The sequence below is a fragment of the Homo sapiens genome, chromosome 5, assembly GCF_000001405.40.
Source record: "Homo sapiens chromosome 5, GRCh38.p14 Primary Assembly".
Taxonomy (NCBI): Eukaryota; Metazoa; Chordata; class Mammalia; order Primates; family Hominidae; genus Homo; species Homo sapiens.
Genome location: NC_000005.10, coordinates 109,184,786 through 109,199,904, shown reverse-complemented (window position 1 = coordinate 109,199,904; position 15,119 = coordinate 109,184,786). Strand labels below are relative to the sequence as shown.

At 38.8% G+C, this 15,119-nt stretch overlaps 1 protein-coding gene across 16 annotated transcripts in view, besides 3 other annotated features; it reads right to left on the bottom strand.

The window, feature by feature from the left end:
• Window positions 1,583-1,790: a silencer, noted in NCBI's record as "fragment chr5:108533816-108534023 (GRCh37/hg19 assembly coordinates)". NCBI's record gives its function as "represses an EF-1alpha promoter that drives an FKBP-Casp9 reporter gene in an ReSE screen in HepG2 liver carcinoma cells {active_cell/tissue: HepG2}" and the evidence as "EXISTENCE:reporter gene assay evidence [ECO:0000049][PMID:32094911]".
• FER (FER tyrosine kinase) overlaps window positions 3,064-15,119 on the bottom strand; it is a 448,945-nt gene continuing 436,889 nt past the window's right edge. For all 16 annotated transcript variants that reach the window (NR_146155.2, NM_005246.4, XM_011543269.3 and 13 more), the window contains 2 exons: window positions 13,583-13,705; window positions 3,064-12,472 (listed from right to left, as the gene is read on the bottom strand). Coding sequence is in view for 15 of the 16 variants with exons in the window: in NM_005246.4 (NP_005237.2) it covers window positions 12,330-12,472; window positions 13,583-13,705 (266 nt within the window). In the remaining variant the exon portion in view is untranslated. The remainder of the gene's footprint in view (window positions 12,473-13,582; window positions 13,706-15,119) is intronic.
• Window positions 5,630-5,830: a silencer, noted in NCBI's record as "peak5412 fragment used in MPRA reporter construct". NCBI's record gives its function as "represses an SCP1 promoter by STARR-seq MPRAs in K562 erythroleukemia cells {active_cell/tissue: K562}" and the evidence as "EXISTENCE:reporter gene assay evidence [ECO:0000049][PMID:32103011]".
• Window positions 5,870-6,070: a silencer, noted in NCBI's record as "peak5411 fragment used in MPRA reporter construct". NCBI's record gives its function as "represses an SCP1 promoter by STARR-seq MPRAs in K562 erythroleukemia cells {active_cell/tissue: K562}" and the evidence as "EXISTENCE:reporter gene assay evidence [ECO:0000049][PMID:32103011]".

Here is a 15,119-nt window from a genome sequence, read left to right as displayed (position 1 = left end):
CGGCTGGTATTAGTTTGACATGAAAAGAAGTTTAGGGGTTAACCTGGCTGGAGCAGACAGCTGCTCCCTCACTTTACTTTGTCGAGATGAAAAGTAATGCCAAAAACAGGTAAGATGTCCCCATCGCTGGCATTCCCTGGAAGATGAATGAAGTGTGCAATCCTGGAGGAGAAAATAAAAGCCGGCTTCTTACATTTTTGGCTGGCTGTGACAGGGTCTTCACTATTCTAAGGCTGTAAGACTGTGAACCTGGATGGGTCACCAGTGAGCAAATCCTTCACCTGCCCCACTAACTTCCTTTCATCAGGCTCATGTATCCTAAGTACCTTCCTCAGAGACCCGCTGTGCTGCATCGCTGTCAGAATCATTCCTTGACATTTGGCAGGAGGACAAGAAGTGAGTGGCAGGCAGAGGGAAGGGCTCCAGGGGCTACTTGGGAAATCAGCTTGAGTTGAAATACCAACAGGCTTATTTATTGGCTTTTACCCAGGCTTAAAAGGAGACATTTTGTGAGTTTGTTTGTTTTCAGGAGAGGGAAAGGCCCTTCTGAATGTGGACTAAGACTAAGCCCTGCTGAAAGCTGGGAGACAGAGGCCCTAAGAGGGGAGCTTCTAAGGCTGTCAGTACCTCAGCTTCCTATGACATTTGTTTTTCTATTAATTCTTGGCATTTATATTGCTGTGATAGATCAATTAGCCCATCACAATGTCTAGTCCATTGATCTTATCATTTATCCTGTGGTACCACTGGTTACCACAGGGAGACTGCAAAAGAAACATTTATAATTTTGAATTACTTAAGTCCAGAGCTGGGGAAATATGAAAAAGCTTAGTTTGGATAATCAGCAGCACATTAGGTGAGGGAAACTTTAGGGAATTTTCCTTTTTCTCATCACTCTTGAATTTCAACAGCCATGTTGTATGAGGAAAGGAACAGAACCCACCTCATATAGCGTTGGTGTTTGGATATCTGAAATGACTCAAGAAGCCTTGGGAGATCACACAGTCTCAAAGCTCGAAGGTGTCTTAGAGATCGTCATATTGGTCAGGATCCTTGGCTGCAGACAACAGAAATGGACTATGGATGACTTAGGTTAAAAAAAAAAAAAAAAAAAAAAAAGGGAATTCGCTACAAGGCTGACATGGGCTCCAAAGTTAATGGGGAGGCTAGAGAATGAGGTTTGGGAATGGAAAAAACTAAGGGTGTCCTGGAGTGTTGGGTAGCAGGAATTACAGCAACACTTTACTAGGGAGAATGGACTCTGCTTTAGTGAATGCTCTCAGGCTGTTCTTTGTCCTTCAAGTGTCAGCCCTGGGAGAAAGGATCCAATTGGATAAGTTTACAGACTAGTGAGAGTCCAACCAGGAATGAGATCCTGAGTTTCCCAGCTCCCAGCTTGGTGCTTGTTTCAACACCAGACAGCTTTGGAACCCAGCACCATCAGCCTTCCTTGGGCATAATCACAAGTCTGACCTAAGTGTGTGGGCCAGTCCACGTGTACCACCACATTTTGGAAGTTTGAAAAAGCACTTCATTTAGATTCAGTTTTTATTGAAGGGGCAGCCATTGATGCTGTTAATAGAAACTAGTTCTTACATTTATGTGTGTGTGTGTTGTTGTTTTTGTTTTTTGTTTTGTTTTGTTTTTTTGAGACGGAGTCTCACTCTGTCTCCCAGGCTGGAGTGTAGTGGTGCGAACTCAGCTCACTGCAAGCTCTGCCTCCCTGGTTCACGCCATTCTCTTGCCTCAGCCTCCCGAGTAGCTGGGTTTACAGGCACCCGCCACCACGCCTGGCTAATTTCTTTTTGTATTTTTAGTAGAGACGGGGTTTCACCATCTTAGCCAGGATGGTCTCGATCTCCTGATCTCGTGATCCGCCCACCTTGGCCTCCCAAAGTGGTGGGATTACAGGCGTGAGCCACCGTGCCTGGCCTTTTTTTTTTTTTTTTTTTTTTTTTTTTAACAAGCAACATCACCATTTGCCTGAAGAAATCAGCTAGAAGGGGGAGTGTGAAACGAAGTGTAGGACTTCAAACACCAAAAGAACTCCAGGATTTCAGAGATGCTATTTATTCATCTTGGGGAATGGGATTTCAGTCTGATAGCCAACCTTCTTTGGTGGTGAATGTACCTCATCCTAATTAATTGAAGTCAGTGAAAGCACAGGTTGTCTAGGAGACTGTGCCAGATATCAAACCTGCTGGAGCAGAGGATGCAACTCTAGACAGACAATTATGAGCTATGGTGAAAATGAATTCACCAAGGGCCCAGAAGCACACAGCTCTGGGTAGGGTGCTGTGGAAGCAGGAAGGTTAAGAGGATTGTATGGATTCATTTTGTCTATCCTAAGGAGCTTGTGGCCTACCCCATGAACAGTAAACATGTGTGTTTTTGAGAAGCAGTGGAGGTTGACTCATCTAATCCAAGCTCAGGGATGAGGAGGGGGCTTGGTTTAATGTAAGGGAAGTGTATGTTGCCCAAAATCCATGTAAATAACAGCCGGCAGTTTTAGGAAGGTTACCGATTTGCCAACTGAAGGGTACCTAGAAGTTAAGCGATGGCTCTGTGACCAGCTCAGTCCTGTACAGGACAGGCAAGGATACACATCTGAACTGCTCTAGGGTAGCAGGCTTCAGCCTCTGTTTCCAAACATCTCTCAGCCATCTTTCTCCCGCAAATCCTTGTGTTATGTCAAACAAATCTTGTTATGAAAAGCAAAAAAAAAAAAAAAAAAAAAAAACCCAAAAACCCAAAAGTAAAACACAAAAATCCACGCAAATAGCGAATCCACCCAGATAACTGGGACTTGAGCTCCATTACAGTTTTGATTTCTAAACAGGAAGCAGTGATTGGACTGTAAGCAACACACACCCATTATCATCAGAACTAATAAGCTTAATTACAGAGAAACTGAAAGCTAATAATTTTTATGCACTGTTATATCCCTAGGAGGCCAGTTACCATGGAAATCTTGCCTGCCTTTTCTTCCACTTGGAGCATATTTATATGGAAAAGGAAGAGAAATATAAACATGATGGAAAGATTAAATAAGACAAGGCACAGTTTGCTACAAATATTTTACATTTATTATAGGAATACAATAAAGAGGTTCTGCAGACACATGAGTGGTAACTGGTCTATTGGAAAAGAAAAGACAATTAAAAAATGATCTAAGTTTACAAAAATGATGAATCATGCTTTAAAAATGTAGAAACAATTAAAAAATATCCTACAATGTTAGCCAAAGTTCAAAGTGTATTTCTTTTGAATGTAAAAACTAACAAATAAATAAGTGTTAAATACAGATCTGAGTAAAAATGATAAAAGATAGACAACCAACTGCTTTATATATTTAGCTTTCATCCATTTTTCAGACTTGTTTATAAAGCCAGATAAACCCGCCAAAGCCTTGTTTGTGTTTTACACTGAACTTTCCAGAAGAAGCACCCTATTTCCAGTGTTTATCCACTTCACAAATACATTATCTTAAAACAACAAAAATGATTAAAGGTGCTTTAGCCTAACATTAAATGGACCATAAATCGGCAAACCACAGCAGTGCTTTACTCAAAATGCTGCTTGCAGGTGGAATGTCTTTACCAGAAGTGCCTGAGGGCCCCACTCCTACTCCATCATCTCAAACTCATCTATCAAAAGGAAAAGGAAGGAACTTAGAAAAATCATATTTCCACAACCATTCACTAAGAGAGCCCTAGACTAGAGGGCCACCCACAGTCAAATGAATGGCATGGGCACCATTTGTACATTTTGTCTTGGCTTTCAATTTGCTTGGATTCCTGAAGAAGTCAGGGCTGTTGCTGGAACTTTGACAACTTGATTTTATTCTTCCATTTTTTCATCTGGGCTTTCCCATATGGTTCTATGTCTATGACTTTATACAGTGTTCCAGTCTTTTAGGGCACTTGCCAGAAGAAGCCAGACAAAACCAAGAAAAAACACGAAGAAAACCATAACATAAAGCCAGCAGAATTTGCACCACCACCAACCCCCACTATATTCATTCAGATGCTCAATTGGGCCATCTAACTTAATGCATTTAAATGTAAATTTATGTAAAATCTATAGACGTCTGACTAAAGAAGCTGTTTCAGTGGGAAACCTCAATGCTCTGTAAAGAATGATGAACAGAAATGGCCCATAAATATGCTCCTGGCCACTGGTCCACATTGACAGTCTGATCATGTCACAGGATGCAACTGGGTAGCTGACATTTTGTATAGTAAAGTGAAATGCTCAGCAGGTATAAGAGTTTCATGTCTTTGGACACTTTGGTCATGGATTTGAAATAACTAAGACCCCTCTCGACCAGTTCCCCTTTGTCTGTGATTTTGATTTGATGCTTAGAATCTATATTGGGGATTGAATTTAGAATCATAGGATTATAAAATTTACTTGTTATGGGAAATCAGATGAACCTTGTAGAACCAATCTCTTTGACACTAAAGCCAAAAATAGTGAATTCCATTGGAACATGTACATATTCTGTACACTGCAGGTATGAGAGGTCTAGAATCTAAGGTGGAATTATGACAAGTTATTTTCTGTTGGACTGGTCTTCTGATTGTTACTGAAGCAAAGCAATTCACATTGGCATGGCATGGGATAGACCTCCATAGCATCTTATAGTCTAAATACAAGCAACGTACTTTAATTAAGGAGAAAATATTCAAAGTCCTATCAAGCATGGCTCTGGGCACCTTTCCCTCGGCATTTGCTTCCAACTGTCTGGCATTTAAGAGCAGGCAGGCAAGTTTATTTCTACCAGGTCAAATTATTTGTAAAAGGGAAATTCCTACATAAGAGGGTGTGTTTCTTTCTTTCTTTTGGGTTTAAAAATAAAAGCACGGACCAATGAGGTGGGAAAGACTGCCAGGCTGGTTCTTTTACCTAGGATCTCAGTAATACCAGATTCCAGATTCCCTCTCGGCCTCTAAGGCTCTGAATCCAGGTTAGAGGTCTGAACCCCTCCCCCCGTCCCCAAATGGGGGGCATTTAGTTTTTTGTTTCATAAATACTGTCCAGGCAACTCAAAGAAGACACCAAGGTTATACTATTTGACAACAGCTATATGAAAAATGACTTTGGATTCTGTTTCCTTTCCTGCTCAGTTTTTTGCTGCTCCAGTGTATGAATTGAGATTTATTTTTTAAGGCCCTCCTACATTTATCCTGTGTTGCTCAGAACGCCGACGTTTCCCACTGATATCTGTCCTATACTTTCAAAAGAAGGTATGATCTTCTGGGATCAGATGAATTGCTTAAGTGGTTACAGTTTTTGCAAGGGTGTTCTAACTGATGACAGTGGGGTAAAGTGGGATTTCTATTGTCTTCTTTGGTTACAATTTGAATCTGGCTTCTTACTATGTCATTTTAGAATCTGCTTTGGATACTATTTACAACGTGCTTATTCTGATTCTTAGCAAATAGGAAAATAGGTGTGGTGTTTGGCTTTTCAGGAAGAATACTGCTTTGAGGAACTGCAGAGTACAGGTATTTTCATGCAATGTGCTCTGGGGTCTGTATTTCTAGGTAGAATGACTTATTTTGAACTTAAGGCTTCATATTTGCTGCCCTCTTTTCTGAAGCTATGAAAAAACTCCTTAACATTACACAATTGAAATACTTTCAGACATTTGCTGCCAAGAGGAGTGTGAAGAAAACAACAAAAGGTATTGGCAATAGAACAGTGGAATGGAAGAACTGAGTATGTCCAGGAGTTTAAGATAAAGCAATTATTGCTAGTGTTTACACATTTCTTTAGTGGGTAGAGGAGGCCACCTGATCAGCTTACTTGGTCAAGTCAATAGGCTGCCTCCCAGGATACCTCCCAGGATACCTCTACTCACAGAAATCTTGCTGCGTTAGGAAAATCTCTCAAGAGCTTCTACTGATAGTGTTAGTCATCTAACAAGTGTGACCTGATCATCCTGTCTCCACATCTAGGACTCCAACCAGGTCTTTGAATTCTAACCTGCATCCATCATGGGGCTTATCACATACTGAGTGTGTAGCTGGCCTTGTTAAGTAGGTGCCTGGGAGTTCCTTAGAAGGCTAGGGGCCCCCAAGTACCTGAGGAGAAACTTTGATTGAAACCAATTACAACATTATTCAATATAAGCTGATGATAAAGGCTTTACTATTTTGGTAAAGCAAAATCTTGAAAAACTAAAGATGAGAAAAGGAAATAGTAATCAGAAGTCAAATACTGGAAAAACTAGCACCTGGTAGTATTCTCTGCACCTCATGTGGCAGATGTTCAAGAAAAACTTTCTGAATGAATACAGCTGAGCGAAAACATAACATTCCACTTCCAGCATCAACACTGTCACTTAGAACAGTTCATTATTTTGTAGAACACTTGCATCTTGCTGGCCTCAGTAATATTTGAGAAGATAGTTAGAAATTCAGGATTTGTATCTCTTAGAGTGAATTCCAAATATTCATTTGTTTTGAGGTTTTTACAAATTTGCTGACAAGTGGGAAGCTAAATCTGTCTTCGTGTCACAAACCTGAAAGACTTTTTCTATATTAAAATTAAAAACAGGAGGTTCACAGCAATTTTCCTGAATGCTGGCTATCCTAGACATATGTGTGCCATTACTCAGCTTGCTACTGCTTAGGGAGAGGGCTGAACCACCGTTGTGTCTGAGGCCTCACAGATAAACAGAGCAAGGGTAATTCTGATTAAATAATGGTTACCTCCTGAGATTATAGGGAGCGTAGGTAAAAATTAAACCAATGTCCAATTCAATGCCCTTTAAAAAAGTGTTGTAGAGACTTAAGAGGCACGCACTGTTTAAGGACACACAGCAGGAAGCTCCTCAAACCCTTTGTGAGGGTTAGTTTCCTTTATTGTTATTGCATTTATTGTTGGCTATGGGTCATTTTACATTGGTGCTTTGTTACTGCCCTTCATTTCCTTTCAACCTTCCTTTCTGGATGTCTCTTTCTTTTTGTGTCTTACCTTAGGCACCCTGACTAAGCTTTAGGATTTCTAGATTCCTTTCCCTCAAATGTTATTGAAGACAAGGAACATTGCTACTTGTATTCTTCCATTTCTCTGTTGAATACTATGTTTCCCCACAGTAGCTCTCATCATAGTAAGCTCCCTCTGTGGGTAACTCTAGGAGCCATTTAGTCAACGTTAGTCCAAAGGTGAAATAGGGCGGATCTAAGTGTAGTCCCATTTAGGAGACTTTAGCCCAGGTTAAGCCTCACTGTAACCAAAGATTTCTAATAACGTGTGGATAATCAGTGATCTTAGCTTAAGAAATATTAAATATAACCAATGCAAATGTAAAGAAGCTTTGGGTAGTGTCTTTGAAAAACTGGAATACATATGTCCAAATGCATTAGTTGGGAAATAATGAATATAAGCATTTCCCAGCACACAATCATCTCTGAGCTGGGAATATAACAGTGCTCCTAACACAAGGAGAGGTATTTGGTTTACTCTTTGCTAAGGCCCACACACTGGAGATGACTGCTTTTGCTTTAGTTCTGCTGATCTTTTTTATTTTCCATAGGACAGGATCTGGCCTTGTAGCATGTTCTCCTCAGGCTTCCTAATGACACTGTCCAAATCTTTGTTTCACTTTAATTTTTCCACACTCTGTGTGGGGGTGCATCATCCTGCCTTGGAATAACTGGTTCCTCCCTCTTTTGCATTTGAATCTGCTGCCTCAGCACCTTATTAAATATACTGAAGCCTATGCTCATTACTTCTATGCAGTTTAAAGTGACTAAGAATCTAGCACACCAGGATTTTTCTGCCACCCAAGAATCTCAGTCCTTATTAAGTGGCTAAGTGATTCCTAATGCCTACACTAAAAGTTCAGAATTTAATTTCTGAATCGGTATGAGGCAGGAGGATGGCTTTTAATGGGGTAGTATTTCATTAAATTGAATTATGGCTAAGGTATAGTTTATACACCTTCTGTAGGACAGCATTTTTTTTAAAGGGGAATTTTTGGGACTCTAAGAGTGTAGCAAAATCTCCTTCAAGTAGGTCATTCTTGGTACATGAAATCCTGACTTTTAAAATCAGTATCTTCATATGTGGTTTTGGATTCTTCCAAAATATAGTATTCAGACTTGATGTGAAACTAATCAAAACATAGAAAAATAAATGAAATTAAAATATTTAATGAATATCATTCTGATATGTATAAGCAAATCAGAGTTAGTCATAAAAGAAGTAACGCTATTTTGATGGTAAACTTTCACACTGACTTAGTATAATGGAAATGTAATATAAACTCATTTCCATACAAAATCTGATTCCATTTAATTAAGATATTAATACCTAAAGAAAACATGTCTTTTCCAACTGTCTGTCTCTCTGCTGCTTATTTTGCACTGTTCTGTTTTGTGGGAGGGTGTGGCTTCCTAAATGCAAAAGCAAGTCTTGCGATGACTCAGCACTAACCAGGGCAGCCAATTTTGTTGATAAGAAACATCTAAAATATCAATGATAAATGGAGTATACGTAAAAAGAAGAGGGCTGAGGCAAACAATGCTTTTTCAGAAAATATCAAACTTCAAAAGATGCATGGCCATTAAACAGTGTACACAGTATACTAAGTAAGGTTTTCAGGTACATTCCTACATCTGATGACTCACCAGAATTAATTATAAAGTGGTGTGACTGAAAGAACCCTGAAAAACTGTGACTTATGATTCAGATATTTGTATTGTTACATTATAATTTATTTGGATTGTTGCATTTTAATTTTTGTTTATCCCACTACAAGGTCCTCAGTGGGTGGCGTATGTTGTAACTAAAACACTTTCTTCTTGACATAATCTAACACTAGTATTGTGAAGCCATAGTTATTTTGTGGTACTAGCCAATCTTCACAAAAGTTATATGGGAAAACTGAACTGAATATAATATAGATAGAAAAACCAAATTATGGTTTAAAGGAAATTAAAACTATTTCAATTACAAAACATTTTTTCTTCTCAAAATAATCCTAAAATGAAAAACAACTGTGAAATGTGCACTGAAAATATCTAACACAGTTAGGCTCCTGGTCTATACTTATCTGCTAATAAGATGTTTCAGTAATATCGTATTTGTAATAAAACAGTGAATTACGAAAGGAGAATTTTATTGCCCACATTAAATTTGGGAGATAAAAGAGAAACAATTACATGAGACCTTTCACTGGAGACCTCTCACTGGAGACCTCATGGCAGGACAGGCTGAAATAAAGCTTCAGTTTCTGAAGTTTAAACAAAACCTGTCAATTTTATTTTCCCAGAAGAGAAAGAATATGTTGGCTTTGGCCTTAGATTACATGGAATGCAAAATTAATTTTAGGTTTCACATGTTGGTAATAAATGTTAATTTAACAGTGAAAAATTTCTTTCCTTGTGAAATGATGAACAACCTAAACTGTCTCATAAAGGCCCCTTAGTGACCAGTGAGACACAGACTGCTTGTGTTTACCTCCCCCTTTTAATAAATTTAAGGACTTATGAGAGGAACTATGCAGTAGTAAGAATATATATATATATCTTGAATAATCCATTAACAACACAAAGATTTGTGACTGGACTAATTACATCCGGACCAGAAGAAATTTTGGTTACAACTCTTTTCTTACTAAACAAATCACAGGATTTTGTACATTTCTGAATCTTCCTTTCCCTACATCAACTTGCACATTCTGAACAGTATGTTCGTGCTTCCTGGGCATGGATTAGCCTCCTAAAGTATATAATTCCAATAATTAATTATCAGTGACAGAAGGGATGAATAAATTATGCTTCAAGCACAACAAAATTAACAGTGAAAAACTGTTTGCGTAAGTTTTTCTTAATGCATGTGACTATATTAAATTTAATATTCTATATGACTGAGAGACTCCCAATAAGTTATTAATCCTGAACTATACCACTGCCTGCTTTAGGACAAAGAATAAAATGGAATTTAAATGCTACACATGTCACGATGTTTTGAAAAGCTTTTTAAATTTAAGCACAGAGTAATGATGTGAACTGCAAATTCTAACAGCCTGGATAAGTGAAATATCAATGCTGTGTTCATTCTTAACACCAGAATGTCAGGATTAAGCTTTAGGTCTTGTTCATAAAACTAAAGCCAAAACCATCATTCTCTCTCCTTGCTGAGAGCTTAGCATGAAGCCACTATGAGATGGGAGGCTGTTTTCTTTAAACAGACAAAGAATATTACAGAGATTCACTTAGAAATACTAAAAAAAAGGGTAGGAATATCCCATTTTACTCTTACTTTTGAAGGTTGGTAAGTGCCTCAATACCATAGCACTTCTGAGTTTGCGCTTTGATTTACCATAGTACGTGCCATCAAAAGAAATTTCCCTTTAGTCTGAATGTACTAATCATTAAGTATGTATGAAATCTGCAAGGAGATTGAAATGTTAGATACAAGTCACTTTTCTCTTCAGTATTATCTTTCATACTCTAAAGTACTGGTGTGAGTTCTGTGCGATGGTACAGGCAGCAAACAGCTGGAGAGGGCAGGAGGCATTTTCTATCCCTAAGCTCTTCCAATGAATGCAGACCAAATAATCACTAAGGTAATGTTTACCAGGACACAGGCCTGAGAACTTATAAAAGGCTTCCAGAACATATTTAGCCCTGAGCATGACCATCTTCTATATATGCATTTATCCTGAGAGGCAACTATATACAGATCATGGGGTAAGTAAGTAAGTTCCCTAGATAAGAGTTAAGATACAGAATCCTAGTTTTAACTGAGTGAGTGAGTTACATTTTATTCACATGAGACATCTTCAGCACTCTGCTTGCATACCTGTCAGCTAATGGTAAGAATGTCCAGGGGGCAGTATAATGGTCAATGAAGGTGGAAGTAGAAATGGGAGGGCTGTCCCTATGTCATATTTCTCATTAATATTCACCTGACTTCTAGACTGTCTACTTCATTCACATCTGTCTTGCACCTTGGTGGTGTGTGTGCACGCGCATGTACACACGTGAATGTGTTGGTGAACTAGAATCATGAAATTCTGACAGCTCTAAAAACTGGTACAAATAAAGGAAATTACATTTTGGAATGCCCCCTCTAAGGTGAAAATGCTTAACTGAAAGTATGCTGTTATTTCTGTGGATTTGTGCTTTGCAGTTTCTCTCAAAATTTTTGTTGCCATTACGAGGACTCTACGAACTCCTGAAACTTTTCTTAGGACCTTTCTGGTAAATTCAGACCATAAAATAGAATATGTATTATTATGTGTTTTTAGAATAGAATATGTGAATGTTTGTTTGTTTAGATGTTTAGAAAGGCATAACTCTGATAAGGTGGTTTTATATTTTCACTTTCTTCTTTACTCTGTTAATCATTCTTTAGCTGCTCTGTTCTCCAGCCCACCCTCCTGTTCAAATCTGTTTCTTGCTTCACAGCTCTCTGTACATCCTTGAAAAGCAACTGCCTCAACTCTAACTTTGACGACGTTTCATGCGTTGTGTGTGTGTTTCTTTTTTTTTTTTTGGTAGAGACAGGGTTTCACCATGCAAGCCAGGCTGGTCTCGAACTCCTGACCTCAGGTGATCCGCCTGCCTCAGCCTCCCAAAGGAGGGAGGGGGCTGGGCACTGTGGCTCACGCCTGTAATCCCAGGCATGAGATTACATGCCTGGGATTACAGGCGTGAGCCACCGTGCCCGACCTACGTGCATTGTTTTCTGATGCCCAGACAAAGGAGGAGGAAAATGACAACCTTACAAATAATGTAGGAGCATGATGATTCTTACATTGGGCTTATACCTGGCAAGAAAGAAAAGAAAAATCTCAGGAGGTCCAAATAATTCCCAATATAAAATTCTGTTTGTTTGTTTACAAATATAATCCTGCTTTGGCAGAGGTGAAAGCCAGCTGTGGTTGGAACATGTCCTGCAAACATGGCATTACCAATGCTGTTTATAGCACCAACGGAGTAGGGTCTGTGGCATAGGATGGCAGCCTACAAACTGTGCCTGAAGTAGAAACAAGGTGTGAAAAGGATAGGATAGATCTTTTATCCTTCACACACTTAGAAGCCTGTGCTTTTCTATTTGCAATGGCCTGAAATGGTAGGATTGCTATGGTTAGCTAAGAAAGCCCTTGGTAGGACTGCCTATTTCTTTAACAAATTTGCCTTTGACTTTTTACAAGTGGAACGTACTTTTAAAACACCCAGTTAATAAAAAATAATGGTAGAAGACTGTCGAAGGTAATGTGGTATAAATTCATTGTTAATGAGAACAATAATGTTACTCTGCTGGAGGACAGAGTCCTGAAGGCTGAGTTTGGCGCCATCCTGTCACTATGTGAGTTTTCTCTTGATGATAGTGAGCTCTTTCTGAAGTTCACTGAACTTAGGGCGATTTTCAGGTTTATAATCCCAACACTTCATCATGATTTTGGAAATATCCTCTGGACAGTGCTGGGGAGCTGACATCCGGTATCCTGAAGACCCAAGAGAAGGAGAACAGAATTTAGAATGGAGGTAAGACACAAAATGTTCACACAGGGCATTATGCAGTTATTAACTTTTGGTACCTTATGTTGTAGTTATATGGAAACAAAACATCCATTTCTGGGGAGGCTGAGTTTTTATTTTCTACAGGTGATGCAGAATTCAATATTACAGAGTCTTAGAGTTCTAATTCAAAGAACATTTTTTATTTGTTCATTTCTCAGAAAGTCTGATGTAAGATACAATACAAATGCATATTTTAGTTGCTCTAAGTATTCACTTTCAGAATTAGATCCTGTGAACAGTTTTAAAAAATCATCTGTGTTTTTCAAGATGAAGAGAAGATGAGGATTTTATAAATGTGAATTCAATATGAGGATTTTATAAATGTGAATTCAATAGGGAAATAAAAATGAATATGAGTCATATTCTTTTACCGTCTGTTGGTTGGCAGTGTTTCAGCAGTGCATTGGGTAGTGTGTAAAGGTAGGAGAAGGTAGAAAGGAAGTTAGAAAGGCATCTTCCTTCATCCACTTCTACAACCATGCCCCTCACTGGGGACCAGACATTAGGGCACAGTATTTTATCACGAGCTTTCTTTTTGTCGAGACTGTATGCTACACAAGTGCATGCAAGCCTGTCACCATTACTTAGTTATTCCCATCTATGGTCTAGGAACCCCAAAGGGTTTCTTCAGAAGTGCTACAATGTTGTCATATTCTCAAAGACTTCCTGAAGACTAACTGCATTTCAATTGGGAATATTATTTAAAAGGAGGTTTATCTGGCATAGAATACAAGAGTTTGAGAAACACCACCCTATTTCTCTTAACGACAGTGAACAGCACAATCCTGCAGCTGTCATGCCAGACAGGGAAAGGGTGGAAGAAAAGCCTATATACCTCTCTCTCGCATTGAAATCCTTCAAAGTGTTTGGATAAAGAGCAGAGATGTTAGATAAATCTGCTTCTGAACCCCAGAGATGGTCTCATAACACAACCAAACAGTATTTAACACACCCCTCCTCAAGCAGACACACTATAAGCACTGCCTACCCCTGGGGCTGGACATGAACACTAACAATGAATGTACTTGGCTCACCTCTTTCTACTTGCTCTCTTGCTTGCTGATTTGTCATTCCAGGGTACGGACAAACCCCTAAGCTGAAGGTCTCCCAGAGAAGGATGCCAAAGCTCCACACGTCACTCTCTGAACTGTATCTCCCTGGAAGAGGAACAACAACCATAACCACATGAGGCACAGTAGACAAGTAGGTGACCCTTCCTGGTTATGTATGTCTGTGTCAGTCATGCACCACATAATGATGTTTGGTCAATGATGGAGCACATATATGACAGTGGTCCCAGTATAATGGAGCTAAAAAATTCCTATTGCCTAGTGATGTGGTAGCCATGGTAATGTCATAGTATAACACATTACCTTTTCTATGTCTAGATACACAAAAACTTACCATTGTGTTAAAATGACCTGTAGTATTCAATACAGTAACATGCTATATAGGTTTGTAGCCTAGATGTGTACTTGGTTTCTGTAAGTATACCCTATGATCATGGAATGATGAAACTGCGTAACGACGCATTTCTCAGAGTGTATCCCTGTCATTAAGCGATACATGACTGTATTTAAACTTACCAAATGAGTTCGACATGCAGTCTTCCTATTCTCTTTACTGGTTTTACATTCCAGGTCTAGTAATATTACCAATTAAATAAATATTCTTCAGGCTGCTAGTTTAATCAAACTAGCCTCCAAATCACTCTCCCTCCCCCCAAGAATAAATATTCAGCCAGTGTGCAAGCTTACTTTCTCTGTGGTATCTGAATGAGATAGATGGCTTATATTAAAAAGATATACATTTTTACGTTATCAATCCTAGGAGATTAACCAAGTTGGATTCCTGCGATTTTGTCTTACGCCTACTTCGTTTTCTTTCCATTAAAATTACAAACAAACTTAAAGCAATTAGGAAAGTTTCTTCATTTTTTCACTCATTGCTGTTTACAGATGTTCTTACATGCTTAAAGGTCTCATTTTCTCTGATAGTTTCATTTACGAAAAATATTTATGTGTGTTTTAAACAGTGGAAATTAACATAGCTGGCTAACAAAAACGTCTTTAAATCACATGGTGCCTTGTTTTGTTGAAATACCTAGGTGCACCTGTTTTACTGAGCTACATGAGCTAAGCTCTAAGAATTTTTTTGGTAGTCTCCTAGAGAAGCACAAAGATACAAACCAGCACAAGGTTGTCTTCTGGAGATGGACGTGGAATAAAGGAGGGGAAGCAGATCAGTTTTTTCCAATCTCCAGCCTCTCCAAGAAGCTAAGAGTTTCCAAGATGTTCCCAACATATTTGTATTTTTTACTTTTACATATACTATCATAACTAAACTCCATTTACAGTGGTGTTAAAGATTTCTTAAGTTATTTCATTTTCTATCCCTCATGTGGTTTCCTGTCTTAACTCTGCCACTGCAGGATTTATAAATACTCCTCCTCCAAAACTGTCATGTTACTTTAAAACAGGATGGCCTTTCTTAAAAAAAGAAAAAAAAGTACTTAGTGAAAACCAGAGTATGCCTGCTATAATAACTGCTCTGACATCAGAGTGGGGTTGT